The sequence below is a fragment of the Homo sapiens genome, chromosome 20 (assembly GCF_000001405.40).
Source record: "Homo sapiens chromosome 20, GRCh38.p14 Primary Assembly".
Classification (NCBI taxonomy): Eukaryota; Metazoa; Chordata; class Mammalia; order Primates; family Hominidae; genus Homo; species Homo sapiens.
In genome coordinates, this window is record NC_000020.11 from 35,697,464 (window position 1) to 35,715,367 (window position 17,904).

Below are 17,904 nucleotides of genomic sequence, written 5' to 3' on the forward strand. Positions count from 1 at the left end.
AGGCTCAAAGAAATTAGATAACTTGCCCAAGTCATTTAGCCAGGAAATATGGGAACCAATCAAATGCCTGCAGTCAAACTCCAAGGCTGCTCTTTGAATCTCTTCCAGAAAGAATCCAAAACCATTTCTACCTCCATGCACACCTACCAAGAAAGAAATGCCTCCCACAGGCCACTGCCCCTCTTTGACCTTAGAACCTCCTAGACTCCTGTGTACTAACCTGACGAGCACGTTCCATGGCTGCCTCACTCTCCCAGCCATAAGCATGTGTCCGGGAGTGTGGGTTCCCATAGTAGTTGATTAGGTAAGGGAGCATGGCATCAAGCACCCGGGGGTCCTGAACACAACAGAACAGATCATTTTCCTTGAGCGCATCGTCAATTCAGGTCCCACTCCACCCCTCAGACCTGGCCACCCTGCCTTAAGACACTCTCAACCCCTCAGGCACTGCCTAGAGGAGGCCTCAAACATTCTTTTGTTCCCACAAAACTACCCACCAAATATCAACCTAATACACTCCCACTCACAACCCATCCCAACTCGGATTGTTCTGCCTCCCCTCAGGTAGTCTACAAACACTGCCTTGTTCCGACATCTGTTTCTGCTGGTGTTTCCATTCCTGCCAGGTAATGTGATCTATAAGGGGCTGGGACAGGACAGGGCCTAGGCAAACACCCCTGGTCACACATTGGTGAAAACTTGCATTAGTCTTTTAACCCGTTTAATACTTGTCCAAGTTCACACAGTTACTAAGTGGCCGTTCTGCTCATTCCAGAGCCCATGCTTTTAACTAATACTATAGAGCCTGCGCTGAAGTGATCTGACCAAGGTCAATTGCTAGTGAGTAGTAAAGCCAATGCCAGTGGCCTCGAATTTAAGCCTCCCGACTCCTCGCTCAGTGCTTTTTCCAGCACACCTTCACGGCTCTCACTTCTCCAGGGATTCAGCCATTTCTTTGCGTGATCACGCCCATCATTTACTTCCTATAAGCAGCCTTGGGAAAAGCTTCATCCTTACCAGAGGAGTTGTAGCTTGCACATCCATATAGAGAGGTCGCAGCACTGGCCCCACCTCCGGGGCAGCGGCTGTATCTGCGGGAACCGCAGACTGAGGAGCACGGTCTCCAACTGATAAAAAATGGAACGGAGTAGCCAAGTAAGACCGAAGGCAACTATGAACGCATGGCATCCAAAGGGCAGAAGGAAAAATCTGGCTGGAGGTGAGATAAGTGTAAGGGATGCTAGGGTCGAATCTCAATGGAAAGAAAACAACACCAGATACCTGACACGCTGTAAAAGGAGGTAAGGGAGAGGGAGAGAGGGTTCCTGGAGGGGGTGTTGAGTTGATATTCAAATGGTATCGTAGGAAGGAAGGCTCTAAAGGGCAAAGACGTTTAGAAGGAACGTGGAGCCAGAGTAGGTGCAGTCCCTTCTGACCGAAGGTAACGGTCTGCACGGGAGCCCGGAGCAGCATCTGTAACTTGGCCAGGAGCGGTCTGAAGGACGCGCCTCCACGGCTCTGGGGGCCTGTCGCGCAGGGTGCGAGGGGTGGTGCGCCGGGGTCAACCGTTCGGGGACCCGCCTAAGAAAGTTTGAGGGATGTGTCATTTGAGAGAAGGGTCAGAGGGTCTGGGCAGCAGGGTGGACAGGAAGGCTCCGGAATATTCAGTTGCGTCGCCGCGCGGAGGGGACAGGTCCGCGCCTCCCGGAGAGCGGGACCCGAGCGTACCGCGCAGGCGCAGCCCCCGAGTGGGCGCCGCGGGCTTCGGCCCTGGAGCCGCTGTCACCGCCACTGCCGCCCGCCTCCAAGCGGCTCGGAGCAGCATGGTCCCGCTGGCAGAGCCCACCTTCCGAAGCCGCTGCAGTCCTGGGCCCCAGGCTCCCGGAAGTGCTGCCCGGCGCTCCGGAAGCGATTCATCGGGCCGCGAGCGCCCTCCCCGTCGTTTTCCGTGAGAGACGTAGAGCTGAGCGACCCAGCCCGCGAGCGAGGTGAGGTAGGCGCCGGGCGACGCGGGGCCGGAACGCGAAGAGGGTGGTGGAGTCGGGCTACCCACTGATTTTCCTTCCCTTACTTCCCCTGAGCCCTTGGGCCCACTTCCCAGCCTACCGCTTCCGTCCCCGCCCGACTCTTGGGCCAGCGCCTGGGCCCACACTTTCCTATCCCCCGCAGATGCCGGTGGCCGTGGGTCCCTACGGACAGTCCCAGCCAAGCTGCTTCGACCGTGTCAAAATGGGCTTCGTGATGGGTTGCGCCGTGGGCATGGCGGCCGGGGCGCTCTTCGGCACCTTTTCCTGTCTCAGGTGAGGGGCGCGGGCGGTGATCTCTGGGCAGGACAACCAGACCTTCCGGCCCTGCCCCATTCGGCCTGGAGCCTGAACACAGCCTCCTTCTTTCGACTTCCCTCTCTGTCCCCTCGCGAGCCAGACTCATTCCAAACCACCTTCAATCTGTAAAGTCAGGTTGGAAGCGTCAGTGCTTAAGAATTTGAGCTTTAGAGTCAAAATGCTTTCTGGCCCTTTTCTTACTGGTTCGGTGACTTTAGGCAAGTTGGAGACTGGGTTTCCTTAAGTGTAGAATGAAGACAGTAGCATCTAACTTATAGAGTTGTAAAAATTCGATCAGCACACTTTGCACAGCATCTGGCACATATTAAGTGCTCAGTAACTAGTTACTACTGTTGCTTTTATTTTTTTTTCCAATTGCGCATAAGGAAAGAAACTCGTTCAGCGGTTTTACTATTCTGGATACAGGATACAGAGATAAAGCAGTTAAACTTTACACTCTAAAGGTCATTTTCACATTTAGAGGCTGTTATTGCCATATCCCTAGATTGTAAATTATCATTTACAGAGCACTTACTCTATGTTAAGCACTGTGCTAAATACTGTAGTTTTCAAAATCCTGTAAATAATGTTGAGATGCCCATTTTACACTTGACACTATGTGTAAATTGTAGAGCTGACTCTTGAACCCCCACCTTACTCCAAAATCATTAACACCAAGAAACTAAAAGACAGATGTCTTTATTGGGTCTTAAACTGCAGGCAACACCAGTCAAAAAAGCTGGTTTCTCTATGTATTTTACACTGCATCTGCTGCCTCCCACAAACTGAAGGCAGTTAATACGACATCCACCAGAAAAATACCCTGGAGACCCAGATGGATCTTTTTCCTTCTCATTACCCACCCCAGGTAGTAAGATATAATATCCAGTAAGTGGAAAATCAGATGTAGGGGTTGCTAGACTAGTGTTAGCAAAAAATTGGAAAGGAGCAGTTAATACTCTTTCTGATATTTTTGTTACCAAATAGCTCCATCTTGGTTTCCTCCTCAGGATCGGAATGCGGGGTCGAGAGCTGATGGGCGGCATTGGGAAAACCATGATGCAGAGTGGCGGCACCTTTGGCACATTCATGGCCATTGGGATGGGCATCCGATGCTAACCATGGTTGCCAACTACATCTGTCCCTTCCCATCAATCCCAGCCCATGTACTAATAAAAGAAAGTCTTTGAGTAGTCAGTGTCCCTCTCTTAAAGGAATATTCTTCTCTCAGCCTATTATCCAGCTTTGCCAAGGATCTTCTGCACTAAAGAGATGGACTAACGTAATGACTAGGGTTAGTATCTCTTTCACAAGGCCTGCCTCTCTTAATCCAAAATTGGAAAACTTGGGAGTGTCTAGTATTTTCCATAGATACTATTCAACTAATTACTCAGTACAACTCTGTGCTTGTTACTACGGTCACCATTTTAAAGGAGAAAAACTACTTCAAAAAATGGATTTATAAGCCGAAATTTCCTCAAGGTCACACATTGCATTATTTCCAAAGCAATGTTCATCCTGAGGTTGGTTGTTTCCTTGGTCGCCCAGGTTGGAGTGCAGTGGCACGATCTCGGCTTACCGCAACTTCTGCCTCCTGTGTTCAAGCGTTTCTCCTGCCTCAGCCTCCCGAGTAGCTGTGATAACAGGCACGTGCCACCATGCCTAGCTAAATTTTGTATTGTTAGGCTGGGCGCGGTGGCTTATGCCTGTAATCCCAGCACTTTGGGAGGCAAAGGCTGGTGGATCACAAGGTCAGGAGATGGAGACCATCTTGGGTAACACGGTGACACCCCGTCTCTACTAAAAATACAAAAACTTAAGCCGGGTGTGTTGACACGCGCCTGTATTCCCAGCTACTCGGGAGGCTGAGGCAGGAGAATCGCTTGAACCCAGAAGGTGGAGGTTGCAGTGAGCTGAGATCGAGCCATTGCACTCCAGCCTGGGCGACAGAGCGAGACTCTGTCTCAAAACAAAAAAAATTTGTATTCTTAGTAGAGACGGGGTTTCACTGTGTTGGCCAGGCTGGTCTCAAACTCTTGACCTCATGATCCACCCGCCTCCGCCTCCCAGTGTTCACATATACAGGCATAAGGCACCACGTCCAGCCCGAGGTTGTTATTTAGATATACCTAGTGGCTTTATCAGAAAAAGCAAAACAGTTCATCCACTGTAAAAAAAAATAGAAACTTCTGTAGCTTCTCAACTGGCTAAATTCCAGATGATTTTCTAACCACTCATCAACAATCTATATAGCTTGCCCTCCACAAAACTTACTAGTTTGATGATAAAAAGCTTCTGTAATGAGGCAGTTGTCCATCTCACCTGCCCAGGCCACGCAGACCCTGGAGTTACTAACCCGCATTGCCCATTAAGCATTTCTTAAACAGAACTTTCAAAGATGGTAGTAATTATTATAAAGATAAAAGAAAACTAGATGAACACTTTGGAACACTGACAGGCAGGAGGAAATTAAGGACATTACCAGATTAGTTACAGATTTTCGAACCAGTGGGATGCTGACTCAGGAACTGATTGGACATAAACAGTTTCACTCAGAATGAGCTGTTTTCTATGCACGACACTATTCAAGTTACTACACTCCAACCACATTTCCTCTGAACATTATTTACACACCAAATTTCACTCTGGTAGCAACTAAATTTTGGCACAGATGAGATTAACCACTAAAGGCCACATTTGCTGGTCCAGTTCCCTAGAAAGCAATGACACAACAAATTTGTTAGGAAGACTTGGTTCAAGGGGAAAAACTGATAGCAGGAGATACTTTGGAAAAAGAGCACACTGACAGAGTGTCTCTGCCCCAAAGAACTCTGCAGTCTGGTATTGAAAAGTAAATTTTCAATGAGGCTGGGCGCGGTGGCTCATGCCTGTAATCCCGGCACTTTGGGAGGCCAAGGCGGACAGATCACTTGAGGTCAGTGTGAGACCAGCCGGGCTAACACCGTCTCTGCTAAAAATACAAAAATTAGCTGGGCACGGTGGTGCGCACCTGTCCCAGCTCTTCAGGAGACTGAGGTGGGAGAATTGCTTGAACCTGGGAGATGGAGCTGAGATCACATCACTGCACTCCAGCCTGGGCCAAAGAGCAAGACTCCATCTCAAAAAGAAAAAGAAATTGAACCTTGGGAGTTTCCATACAAATTAAATCACTAGAACAATTATTGGGATAAATGTCAAACAAAACGACTGATATGAAATTCTGAATAAGCCTGTAAAACTTGTGCTTCAATGCTAACAAAAAAAAAAGTTGAACAAATGAGGTAAGGAACTCAGTATTTGAAGATAAGCTAGGAGCAGCATTTCCTACTCAAAAGATTTACCAAGAGATAAACAGTTGAAGAGAATTGAGTATAAATGGTGACAGCTTGCTTCCCAACTAGTATGAAAGCTCAAAACCCCTTAATACAGTAATATATGCACCTTATTTAATATATTAATATATAAATCAATTTTGGAAACCAGTTTGAAGTTAAGCCATTTTGTTAAGTATGTATTGTAAATGGTGAAAATTTCTTCATAAATATGCCCAGACAATGCAGGAGACCAAGAATGCCCAGGTTTTAAGGCCAGGCTGTTTCCTTTTCTTTTTGGTAAACCCCTCAGTTTTGATACATTCTTCTAAAATACACAGGGCTAGACTCTAATAGAATAAAGGAATTCATGGGGGACAACGTGAGGGCAAGTTTCCGCAGACTCGGAACATTTTCCCAAGAGGCAAGTACTGAATTGAGACTAAAAGAAGCTAATTCTGTTCTCAAATTTCTGTAACTTTAAAACATTTGAAAAATGAAGATCTCCTGTGGCCTTTTTAAGAGACTTTTATTTGAGTGGTTCTTACAAAGATTGTTGCAATATGAAAGTCATTTGTTTGATAGAAATATCAAGCTGTCTTGTCAAACACACTGAAGTAACCCAAAAATATATTTCAGAGCTCACAGAGCTTAAAAAGAGCAAAGATTATATGCAACCAGACAAAACCTATTTCTGCATTTCCTATTTCTTTCTCAGACTGCTTTGCCTACCAGACTCTCACGTTTAAACATCTTCAGGAAATGCAGGGATCATTTTGTTTGGAATTTTAAGACACACCAGAACACATAGTATTTACAAAGAAACTTTTACAGATACATTAATTGAAAAGATACCATCAAGAAATATAATTTTGAAATCTCCCTTTCTTGCCAATTGATCAGAATGCAAGATGAGATGCTAACCAAACAGCCCTTTAGCTGTCTTGTATTTCCATACACTAAATGTGTATTTCAGAAACTGCTCAACCATCAGCCAAATATCAACATTAGTGAAATGTGAAATGTAACCACTGTGTAAAAAGTTAGGCTTCTGAAACATTAAAAACATTACATCCCTGGTCTGCCTTTTTACAGAAAGCACATTTGTTCTCCTAGAGCTATTCCTATAGTTCATTAATTTTCTACATGAACATTTTAAAAGGCAGAACAAGAGAACAGTTTTGTATACAGTGGGATTTACTATTTAGGGAGAATGAGCACACTGCATTCCTGTTAACATTTTTATTTTTTCAAGGTAACAGGAAATTGCATACAAATGACAGTAGATCCTTGCCTCTTTATTTTTATCTAAATAAAAGATAACTCAAGATGAATTCTCAAGAAAGAAAAAAAGCTATATACATAAGGGACTATATCTTCCTTCATCGTCTACTTGGAACCAGTAGCTGTGTTGCTGTCATAGAATCAGGAAACAGGTTGTGGTAAGTTGGAAGAGGTACATATGCTGCTGTTATCATTTTACCTATTAAAAGAAACAGACATGTTGGGTTTAGCATCTTCATTATAGAGCCTTAATAACAATCAGTCAAAAAATAAATTCAAACTCACCAGCAAACCACCTGCCATGCAATGCATTGACAGCAGCAATAGCTGCAGCAATTGATGGGCACTTCACATACACATTGCCCTACAGAAAAAATGAAAAAAAAGGTAAAGATGTTGCTGTATGCAAAATGGACCCAAGTTATGTTTATTCAAGTTGCCTGTAGAAACTTAGTGCTCTATAACCACAAACTGGTTTACCATAATGGTTCCACTGGCTAATAGGTATACTAGAATTTTATTAAAAAATGACTTCTACTCTCAAATTTGCCGTTTTATCTTTTCTCTACGATTTGTATGCAGCCTAAGAATGAATCAAGATGCCAAGATTTCATGGCAAGCTTTGAGCATTACTAGAAATCCTCTCATACCCTGATCAAATTGTTACTGATTTTCTTTTATTTTGGAGGGTTTATTTAGCCACTATATTAAAGCTACTTTCAGGCACACACACACAAAAACTATAATGGAAGACGGTTAACCATAACATGCACCACATAATGTGCGAAGATTAAGGTAGAGACGAACAACCTAACATCATTTATAAAAAAAGATGAAAATACCTGAGCTGAATTTTTGTCAACATAAATATGAATAACTCCTCCATGTTTATTACATTCTTCAATCACATCATCCTTAATCTCGGTATCCCATCCAACTTCTTCTTCTCTGTAAGAAAGTATTAAGGACTCTTAAATACTATTGAAACTAACAAACTATATATTTACAAATGTATCAAAAAATTTAAATATTCTATGAATTAAAAAAAATACTTTGGAAAAAAAGCACATTGACAGAACGTCTCTGCCCCAAAGAACACTGCAGTCTGGTATTGAAAAATAAATTTTCAATGAGGCCGGGCGCGGTGACTCATGCCTGTAATCCCAGCACTTTGGGAGGCCGAAGTGGGCAGATCACCAGAGATCAGGAGTTTGAGACCAGCCTGGCCATGATGGAGAAATCCGGTCTCTACTGAAAATCCAAAATTTAGCCACGAGTGGTGGCAGATGCCTGAAATCCCAGCTATTCAAGAGGCTGAAGCAGGAGAATCGCTTGAGCCTAGGAGGCTGAGGTTGCAGTGAGCCAGTATCAAATCCCTGCATGCCAGCCTAGGTAACTCCGTCTCAAAAAAAAAAAAAAGTTAAAAGATACAGATAGGGCTCTGGGGAAAATCAAAGCAAAATAAGATAGAAAATATTGATCCCATCCTACTTTATGACTCTGCATAACTTGAAAGTGACTTTTAAATAGTTAAATGGGCCAGGCGCAGCAGCTCATGCCTGTAATTTCAGCACTTTGGGAAGCTGAGGCGGGCACATCACTTGAGGTCAGGAGTTCAAGACCAGCCTGGCCAACATGGCGAAACCCCAGCTCTACTATAAAAATACAAAAATCAGCCAGGCATCATGGCACACGCCTGTAATCCCAGCACTTTCGGATGCTGAAGCGAGCAGATCACTTAAGGTCAGGAGTTCGAGACCAGCCTGGCCAACACGGCAAAACCCTGTCTCTACTAAAAACACAAAAGTAGTTGGGCGTGGTGGTGTGCACTTGTAATCCCAGCTACTCGAAAGGCATGAGAACTGCTTGAACCTGGGAGATGGAGGTTGCAGTGAGCTAAGATAGAGCCGGTGGCGCCACTATACTCCAACCTAGACTGAGACTCTGGCTCCAACAAAAAAAGTTAAATACTTCAATGCTATCAAATGATACTTACAACGAAAGTTTATCACCATTTCATAGATAAAACTAAAGTAAATTTGGTACTGGGAAAACAAAAGAATTCAAGACTCTTTGGATGAAACAGTCATACAATTGTCATTATATGAAATGTAACTTATTGAAATCGAAACAAAAATCTACATTTTGATTGGATGTACTATATTATAAATATGATTTATAAAACCAATGAGAAGAGTTAAAAAATAGCATTCTAATCACTAGCTAGGCATAGTTACTAGCATTCTAATGCTAATAGTTATTAGCATCCTAATCACTAGCTAGGCATAGTTTCCGCACCTGGCCGAAAAATTATTTTAAAAGGATCAAAACTATGCAGTTTCAAATGAAATACGGAAATACCAGGCCGGGCCCGGTGGCTCATGCCTGTAATCCCAGCACTTTGGTAGGCTAAGGTGGGCGGATCACCTCAGGTCGGGAGTTTGAGACCAGCCTGACCAACATGGTGAAACCCCATCTCTACTAAAACTACAAAATTAGCCAGGTGTGGTGGCGCATGCCTGTAATCCCAGCCACTCGGAAGGCTGAGGCAGGAGAATCGCTTGAACCCAGGAGGCGGAGGTTGCAGTAAGCCAAGATCGCGCCATTGCACTCCAGCCTAGACAACAAGAGCGAAACTCCATCTTAAAAAAAAAAAAAAAAAAAAAAAAGAGAAATATATAAAACAACTCTATTGACGCCTTGATAGGAAATATCAAGAATAAAGTCCATTACTTACGTTTGAGGGTTAAACATGTTAGAGAGTTGGAAACATTGTGTTGCAAGTGGCTGAACAGAGGCAGCTGCAGCTAAAGCTGAAGCTAAAAAAAGAAAGAGAAAAATTAGTTTCATGGAAAATGCATGAAAGTATCCCTCATAAATACTTTAAAACGAAACCAAAAACCCACCCCAAGCATGTAACTAGGATGTCACTGGAGTTATTTTACCTTATTTAATATTGCTACTAATGTATGTTATCAGTAGCTTTTAGGTGCCAGAAAACTGAGGTAACCTAATACTTGAAACAGACATTCAGAAATTTGGGAGTCCTATTTTAACAGGGAAATTAAACTTTATGTGTTATCAAAATCAGTTCAATTAGACAAAATCTCAATACACATCAATCCAAACAGATGAAGGATAAAATAGATTTGAGTTTATACCCAAATAAGAGGGGATAATAAAACAAAATCCTTTGAAATGCCAAATAAATCTATATCCTTTCCTATTTCTTCGCTTTCTGCCCACGAAGTTTTTTAAATCTACAAATTATTAAAGAATTAAGACATATAAAATCATCCAAGTGTTTAAAGACAATGTCCTAGAAAAATAAATCCTATTAACAATCCTATTAAAAATAAATCCTATTAATAAATCAAATGTTTTAAAAATGTTTTCGCACAATAAAAGAACACTGAAAAGAGCAGCATATATGTGTAATATCCACTACTACCAAAACATACTGGGGTTTGAAGTTTAAAGAGCATTTTCCAAGACAGTTGCTCCAATGCTTTCACGTGATTTACAAAAATATTACCAGTAGCTGTTACAGAACTCACCGTAATCATATTATCTGACCAAATTTCATTCCAAAACATAATAACAAACAAAGCTAAGGATAAAACAGTGCATTAGAAATTATGGTAATTAAAATAAACGATCACTTAAAGTATCAGAAATATTACACCGAGAAATTAGGGCTGTGCATGAAATATATCATAAATGATAACTTTCTGGTAGCATTACAGGTGCTTTAGCTTCTCTGTAACATATAAGTTTTTTCTTTCATAAAGTTTTATTTTAAATAAAACAAAATTTTAATATAACATGTCAAATTCTGCTGGAAAAAAGTTAAAGATTCGAGAGTGTATTATAACTGTGCAAAAATGAAGCTCACTGTGTAGCTTACAGAAGATATGGAAGTATCCTTAAAAAAAACTAGAAAGTCTAAACAGAACTGAGGAAGACTTGATTCTTCCAGTTTCTCAAGTTTAGTATGATTATATACTATGAATACTAAAAAATATTAAGAAAACGTACTATACAAACATTCACGTTCAAGCTAGATCAATGCAGAACACAGTAAATCTAGGAAAATCTTTTAAAAATCTCTTAACAAAACAGCACTGATTAGAAGCATCTTGTTTGTGAAAAAATTTAATTCTTGACTGTGATGGAACATGACATATCTTTCTCATAATCATTTCCCTAAACATTAAGCATACTCCTACAAAAGATATAGAACTTACATTAACAGCAAAATGCTCATGTCAAGCAACAGAGATTTAGTGATAACTAAAAACAAGAAATCATAGCCTACTTAATGAATGGTTTCTCTGAAATGTGCATGTAATTTAAGTATGTATAAACCTCTTATTGCTTGGTACTGGCTTAAATAAATCACTGAGTACTATGTCTTAAGCAAAAAAAGGTGAGTTTTATAGCATGATTCACAACTTTATACTAAGACAACTTCCAGATTCCAGGTTCTAAAATACTTGCCTACTCGTTAATAAGAGAATACTTCATTTCCTGACTTCTATATGCAACTTATCAACACTTAGAACACACAGGTAGGCATAAAACAAAAACAAGGTTGAAAATTTTAAGCAAACTAAAGCAAAAAAAAAAATTGTTATTTTGATTTTTTTTAAGTCCATTAATTTGGGTTAGGTCTTCTGAAATACAGACAGATTACTATGAATATACCACTATGTGTCACTGTGTCAAAATTTGGTCCAAATTACTGGTATAAAAATATGACAATAAATATAGAAAACTGTCTTACTACATTTAATTCTATTTCAAAGACAAAAATAAAAAATATGAACACTTCAACTCACCTTCAGTCTGCTGGGAAAGTCTTGTTTGCAAATCTATAACAAAAGAGAATTCTACAGCTCAGTGCAGGAACAATGAAGAGCCTCAACTAACAGGGTAAATGTCAGGAAAGCATTAATAAAAGAGGACTACAATAGCAGGGTTCATTCAAATGCACTTAGTAAAACCTGGCAGCAAAACCTCCTTCCCCATTCCTCATTGAGAAGGCTTTGGGGCCTTTTTTCCCCCTCTTATCCTGGGAAACTTACTTTTCCCTCTCTCTTCCTAGACTAGACTACTCTTCCACATCTCAAGTGATTTTCACTACACTACTATACAGCTGGGAATAATGGGAAATGGGGAAAGGGAAGCACACCGGTCAGAAAATGAGTGAAAAACCCTGATCTTGAGAATTCAATTCCAAGTACTTGGGAAATGCAAGTATTTATATTTTTAGTGGCCATAGTACTTAACACTTTAAAAGGATATTATAAAATTGTAAATACTGCACATCAAAAAGCTGTAACAGTTTCCATGATTTCCCAATTTAGGAAGAACATCACCATTGGGAAATACACCATTCCAACAGTATGCATATATTATTTTTTTAAGGACTTTTCAAAGATTTAACTTGTCAAATCTAGCCCATAATGGGGCAACTTGATTATTGATTTCCTGGCCTAGTGTAAAAATTTAGCAAGGCAGAAATAAAAATCTCTGGAGTTTTCTTAAAAGCTATGAAGTTTAGGAAAATGAAAACATCTAATCAGTATTAAAAATAAGAGGGATGTGACCAATATATTTTCTCATATAATCGTTAGATTTCTACAGTGGACGCCATCTGAAAGCTGCTACAGAGTGAAACAGTAGCAAGTCTGAACAGTAAGTCTGCCACAGTGCTATAATGCTCTCTTGAAGTTCTTTTTATAGAAATATATGACATCAAAATTTTGATTCAGTAACCTGATTTTCATTAAAATTTGATTCAACTGCAACACTTTATTACCACATATATGGGTTTCTTGCAACATGGGCAAAAATGTACAGGGATCTGCAGCCCAAGTTATATTGGGATAAAATACCTGGGTCCTAGGTGCTCAAAATTGGCATCTCAGGGAGCTGAAGAAATGTAACTGGTGTATACTGAAGGAACTTGAAGATAGGACCATGTGAACAGTGTCAATAAACTTTAAATAATAACAGAATTTGTCTTTTTTTTCCTAAAATGGGAAAAAATGTATAGATATCAGAAATCCATGCTATTTTGTCTACCAACCCAATCATAATTTCAAAAATGATTTGTCATATCATTTGTGACAAAGTGAAAAATAAAGCATGGTTTTCATAAAGATAAGGACTCTAACCTATTTTAGAAAGGGCCTATCAAACTGGCAGAATAAAATAATGTGGATATAGTGATGACCCATCCCTAGTTTCACCCAATAGCTTTAAAAGACTTAGGGGACAAGCACCTCAAACACAGTAAACACTCAACAATTTTATTTCAGCAAGTTATATGTAATATTTTAATGACCACCATCTGGAGAAAAATATCCAGTTACACAGATATTCACCTAAAACATGAGTGTTATTAATGCAGAAGAAATTTATAGCAAGGCTAATAAAACAGAATGATCTTTAAAATCATCTCTACCACCACCAGCACTAAAAAAGGGAATGTAACTAGATACATAGATAAAGGGTAGGGACACTATTGTCAGGAATCCATATGGAGCTTTAGGATTTTAGCTGGCTACATTCAAACAATCTTAATATATACTACACGATGAGAAAGAACCCAAGAGGTACATTCATCCATAATAAAAGAAATAAAGGCTAACGGTAGAACTGATATTTAACAGTGGATAATCTTCAGTTAACTGAAGACATTAAGAGCAAATCAACGTATCTGATACAGCATCCAGGGTGTAAGAAAATTGTCTATAAATGACCCCTTTGTCACTGTATCAATTCCCTGAAGGCAGGAAGAAATCTTTCACCACCCTTTAGTGGAATACCTAGAACATGAACTAAAAATTTTCTTAGTTGTCAAAGAACATTATGAACAATGAGAAGCAATACAGGTAAACAGTTTTCTGGTTAAAAAAAAACCTTTCAAACTGTAATAATAAACTCTAGGTAATGAGTTTACTATCAATTAGAGCAAGTAGCAATCGACAATTACTCACTGTAAAGGATCGAATAGCTAACACTATAAGCTCAAAATAAATTATGTGTTAATCCAATGGAATAAAGATAACTTGAGGAGGGATCAAATGACTGTTAAATACACAAATGCCTTACTGGTTCTGATTCTTGTAAGTATAAACTGGCTTCGCTGTCAGAAATTCTAGGGAGTAACTGCTTGTCAAATTTCAAAATAAGTCATACAATTTATAGAAAGGAAATGAAACCAAATGCAGGTTTTCTAAAGGTACTCACACACTTAAGAACAACCACTAAGAAGGCAAAACAGTGAAAAAATAAATGTAAAAACAAAAGTCGTCTTCTACTTTAATTGAATATTGAGCTTTCAATTTAGAAGAAAATCATGAAGCAACCACAGGACCTCTTCGTACTTTCAGATGTGGTACTACCAGGGTCTAAAATCTATCTTCTCAGTTACAGTCTCACTTCGTATATATATATAAGGTCAAAGGACCAGCCAGGTGAGGGGGCTCATGCCTGTAACCCAGGATTTTGGGAGGTCAAGGCAGGCAGGTCTCTACTAAAAATACAAAAATTAGCTGGGTGTGGTGGGAAATGTCTGTGATCCCAGCTATGTGGGAGGCTGAGGCACCAGAATTCCTTGAACCCAGGAGGAAGAGGTTGAGCCACAGAGTGAGACTCCATCCCCCACCAACAAAATAACAAAAGGTTCTTCTTATGATGTTCTAAAAGCACGTCTTTGACATTTCAAAATTAGATCCTATCCTATCTCCCAGATTTGGGTCAATGTAAAAGTTACAGGTAATTAAGAAATGAGGGCCGAACGCAGTGGCTCACATCTGTAAGCCCAGCACTTTGAGAGGCCAAGGTGGGCAGATCACTTGAGGTAAGGTGTTTAAGACTAGCCTGGCCAACATGGTGAAACCCCATCTCTACTAAAAATATCCCTGCTACTTGGGAGGCTGAGGCACGAGAACTGCTTGAACCCAGGAGGCACAGGTTGCAGTGAGCCGAGACTGCACCACTGCACTCCAGCCTGGGCAACAGAGCAAGTCTACTGTTATCCAAAAAAAAAAAAAAAAAAAAAAAAGGGGGCGGGGGGTTGGGGGGCACAGGGGAATGAGTGTTTTATGAACTAAATCCCTTTATACATAATTGTAAAAACGTCAATTCACCCTTCTTTTCCTGTTGCCTCCAAAAGCTCCACCTCCCAATTCATGATCTTAAATTTTTATGTACTATAAAGAAAAATAACTGTCTCAACACTCTTACTACTACAATAGTTTTAAGTAAAGCTTTTTTAAGTGCCTCTGATATTTTCTAAATTCTAATATTATAAATATTTTTTCGATCAAACAATATACACCTTGTAGTATTCAATAAAACTGATATATTTGAAAATAAACTTATGTCAATGAATTTCGACTAAAAACTGGGGTGCAGGGTTTAAAACTGTCCTGACAACTCATTTTGATGCATGGTTAATTCTACCCTATGTCTCCACTTCCTTAAATAGAAGACTACAAACTAACAGGCTATAAGTACTTGATGAATTGAATTCTCAGTAAGTCCTTTTAAATGTAAAAATTTGGAAAATTTTCGAATTAGATGAAAAAACGATTTAAAATTAGAAAAGATTCAATTCCTACCTGCCACAGCACCAAATGCCAAAGAGCCACTCATCTGTAGAGCTTGCTGTGCTGCTGGCGGAATCTGCAAACCTGTACCTGTAAAAGAATAGTCTTAAAGTTCCTACTATGTTGAGAGCAGAGAAACGAAGTTTCCTGGGTCATTAATATCATGATCACTTCACTAAAATAAATTGCAAGGAGGGCCGAGTGTGGTGGTTGACGCCTGTAACTTAGCTAGCACTCTGGGAGGCCAAGGGAGGTGGTTCACTTAAATCCCAGAGATCGAGACCAACCTGGGCAACAATTGTGAAACTCTCTTTTTTTTTTGAGATGGAGTATCGCTCTTGTTGCACAGGCTCTTGTTGCACAGGCTGGAGTGCAATGGCGCAATCTCGGCTCACTGCAACCTCCCCCTCCCAAGTTCAAGTGATTCTCCTGCCTCAGCCTCCTGAGTAGCTGGGATTACAGGTATGCGCCACCATGACCGGCTAATTTTTTATTTTTAGCAGAGATAGGGTTTCTCCGTGCTGGTCAGGCTGGTCTCGAACTCCTGAACTTAGGTGATCCACCCGCCACAGCCTCCCAAACTGCTGGGATTACAGTTGTAAGCTACCGCACCCGGCAGAAACCCCATCTCTTAAAAACAACCAACCAACCAACCAACACAAAAAAAAAAAAAAAAAAAAAAAAAAAAAAACCACCACAGAAATTAGCCAGGCGTGGTGGTGGTTGTTTGCAACTGTTAGTCCCAGCTATTTAGAGATTAGGGTGGGAGGATGGCTTCAGCCAAAGAGGCAGAGGTTGCGGTGAGCCAGGATCGCACAACTGCACTCCAAATTGGGCAACAGAGCCAGACCCTGCATCAAAAAATAAGAAATTACAAAAAGAAAAACTTGTAACATTATAATAGCTGCAACTAAATTTATTCCTAAGTATGACATATAAACACTACATAAAGGAAAAGAAATCTTGCAACTTATACTGTGGCATTCAAAACACATAATATAGATTTCCATACATTAATACAAGGCACATCATCTATAAAATAATATGCAGTGTGACCAAGGATAACGCCAACTACAAAATAAGATAAAATCTTTTTCCCTTTCTTAGTTTACATGGCTACCTTTCTTTTCCACTACAATACCCACAGTAAATCATTCGTAATAGCAAGAAACACTTACCCTCTGCAAGTCTTGCCATTAACTGAAGACGACCAGTTGTTCCCAAATCAATTCCAGTCCTTTCCAGTTCATCACTGTCCAAAAATGAACTAGCACTCGAAGCATCAGTACGTTCAGTAACATGACCAACTTTCATTGGTCTTCCTGCTAGTTCAAATCCATTAAGTTGTTCCAAAGCCTTTTTGGCACATTCTGAGTCAGAAAACTACATGATAGGGGAGGCAAGGACAGGAGACAGTGCTTTAATTTTTAAAATACAAACTATACTTAAAAATATATTTATATTTTTAGCATATTCAATAATTACTTCTGAATACTAAGGTAGAAACTGCAAGCTGTAAGTAGCAAACACAACATACATGATGACGACGCTAGCTAACGCAAATTAGGCTTGTTGATGTGGTAGTTTAAATAAAAGATATTACAAGTAATGACAGCTTTATATTTGAGAACATGGGGATTGTGGTTAGAAAATGTGAAAACTGGCTGGGTGCAGTGGCTCACACCTGTAATCTCAACACTTGGAGAGGCCGAGGCAGGCAGACCACCTGAGGTAGAATTTAGTACTTTTCTAACAAAAATGTGCCCAGGGACAAAATAGTCAATATAATCCTCATATATAAAACATAAATACTTCATACACAAGCAAATAAATACATAACTTGATATAAATTACATATATATAAAATTTTGGTTTACACATATACCCACAATGGCTTATCTGGAGAAAAAGAAAAGGTGGAAAATATCCACACTAAAGTTACTAGAATAAAAAAATAAAATTGGTGAGCTATGTTTCATAAATTTTCTCCTTTCACCAGTTCATTGACGTACGTAACAGCCTAATGACCAGTAAGTTAAACAGATTTGCTATCAACATAGCAACAGGCTTACATTTTATTGAAATGTAGATATAAGCTAACAATTTTAATTTCCTGATAGAGATATACAGTGTACTTTTAAAAATACTATGTTTCCAGGACCTTAAAAGGTTACAGAGCTCACACATCTGAAAAAAGTTCCACCATGGATGAGTTTCATATACATGAGTGGCACCATCTCGGCTCATTGCAACCTCTGCCTCCTAGGTTTAGGCAATTCTTCCTCATCCTCCCTAGATGCTAGGATTATAGGCGCCCGCCACCACGCCCGGTTAATTTTTTATATTTTTAGTAGAGACAAG

At 40.2% G+C, this 17,904-nt stretch overlaps 3 protein-coding genes across 22 annotated transcripts in view, besides 4 other annotated features; 1 reads left to right on the plus strand and 2 right to left on the minus strand.

Moving 5' to 3' along the window:
• Positions 1–1,889, minus strand: part of NFS1 (NFS1 cysteine desulfurase) — a 31,301-nt gene extending 29,412 nt beyond the window's left edge. For all 3 annotated transcript variants that reach the window (NR_037570.3, NM_001198989.2, NM_021100.5), the window contains exons 1-3: positions 1,729–1,889; positions 1,018–1,127; positions 221–337 (exon numbers count right to left, since the gene is read on the minus strand). Coding sequence is in view for 2 of the 3 variants with exons in the window: in NM_001198989.2 (NP_001185918.1) it covers positions 221–337; positions 1,018–1,127; positions 1,729–1,825 (324 nt within the window). In the remaining variant the exon portion in view is untranslated. The remainder of the gene's footprint in view (positions 1–220; positions 338–1,017; positions 1,128–1,728) is intronic.
• Positions 1,456–2,115: an enhancer, noted in NCBI's record as "OCT4-NANOG-H3K27ac-H3K4me1 hESC enhancer chr20:34286841-34287500 (GRCh37/hg19 assembly coordinates)". NCBI's record gives its function as "activates a minimal SCP1, AML or CMV promoter by ChIP-STARR-seq in primed H9 embryonic stem cells {active_cell/tissue: H9 hESC(primed)}" and the evidence as "EXISTENCE:reporter gene assay evidence [ECO:0000049][PMID:30033119]".
• Positions 1,667–1,856: a silencer, noted in NCBI's record as "silent region_12862". NCBI's record gives its function as "represses an Ori minimal core promoter by ATAC-STARR-seq in GM12878 lymphoblastoid cells {active_cell/tissue: GM12878}" and the evidence as "EXISTENCE:reporter gene assay evidence [ECO:0000049][PMID:35858748]".
• Positions 1,942–3,517, plus strand: ROMO1 (reactive oxygen species modulator 1). Of its 2 annotated transcripts, none has more exons than NM_080748.3 (3): positions 1,942–1,993; positions 2,170–2,300; positions 3,335–3,517. In NM_080748.3, the coding sequence occupies exons 2-3, from the start codon at positions 2,170–2,172 to the stop codon at positions 3,441–3,443; spliced, it is 240 nt and encodes a 79-aa protein (NP_542786.1). In that variant the 5' UTR covers positions 1,942–1,993; the 3' UTR covers positions 3,444–3,517. The 2 variants fall into 2 exon arrangements, with proteins under 2 accessions (NP_542786.1, XP_016883167.1); XM_017027678.2 differs by having other exon boundaries at positions 1,942–1,988.
• Positions 2,116–2,775: an enhancer, noted in NCBI's record as "OCT4-NANOG-H3K27ac-H3K4me1 hESC enhancer chr20:34287501-34288160 (GRCh37/hg19 assembly coordinates)". NCBI's record gives its function as "activates a minimal SCP1, AML or CMV promoter by ChIP-STARR-seq in primed H9 embryonic stem cells {active_cell/tissue: H9 hESC(primed)}" and the evidence as "EXISTENCE:reporter gene assay evidence [ECO:0000049][PMID:30033119]".
• Positions 2,347–2,566: an enhancer, noted in NCBI's record as "active region_17794". NCBI's record gives its function as "activates an Ori minimal core promoter by ATAC-STARR-seq in GM12878 lymphoblastoid cells {active_cell/tissue: GM12878}" and the evidence as "EXISTENCE:reporter gene assay evidence [ECO:0000049][PMID:35858748]".
• The window catches only part of RBM39 (RNA binding motif protein 39), a 40,914-nt gene continuing 26,893 nt past the window's right edge, over positions 3,884–17,904 (minus strand). For 9 of the 17 annotated variants that reach the window (NR_040723.2, NR_040722.2, NM_001242599.2 and 6 more), the window contains 7 exons: positions 16,722–16,926; positions 15,556–15,633; positions 11,761–11,811; positions 9,657–9,738; positions 7,762–7,867; positions 7,205–7,283; positions 3,884–7,118 (listed from right to left, as the gene is read on the minus strand). Coding sequence is in view for 14 of the 17 variants with exons in the window: in NM_001242599.2 (NP_001229528.1) it covers positions 7,018–7,118; positions 7,205–7,283; positions 7,762–7,867; positions 9,657–9,738; positions 11,761–11,811; positions 15,556–15,633; positions 16,722–16,926 (702 nt within the window). In the remaining 3 variants the exon portion in view is untranslated. Of the gene's footprint in view, positions 7,119–7,204; positions 7,284–7,761; positions 7,868–9,656; positions 9,739–11,760; positions 11,812–12,819; positions 12,958–15,555; positions 15,634–16,251; positions 16,395–16,721; positions 16,927–17,904 lie in introns of those variants that run through there. The other 8 variants (NR_040724.2, NM_001242600.2, NM_004902.4 and 5 more) reach the window with 4 other exon arrangements.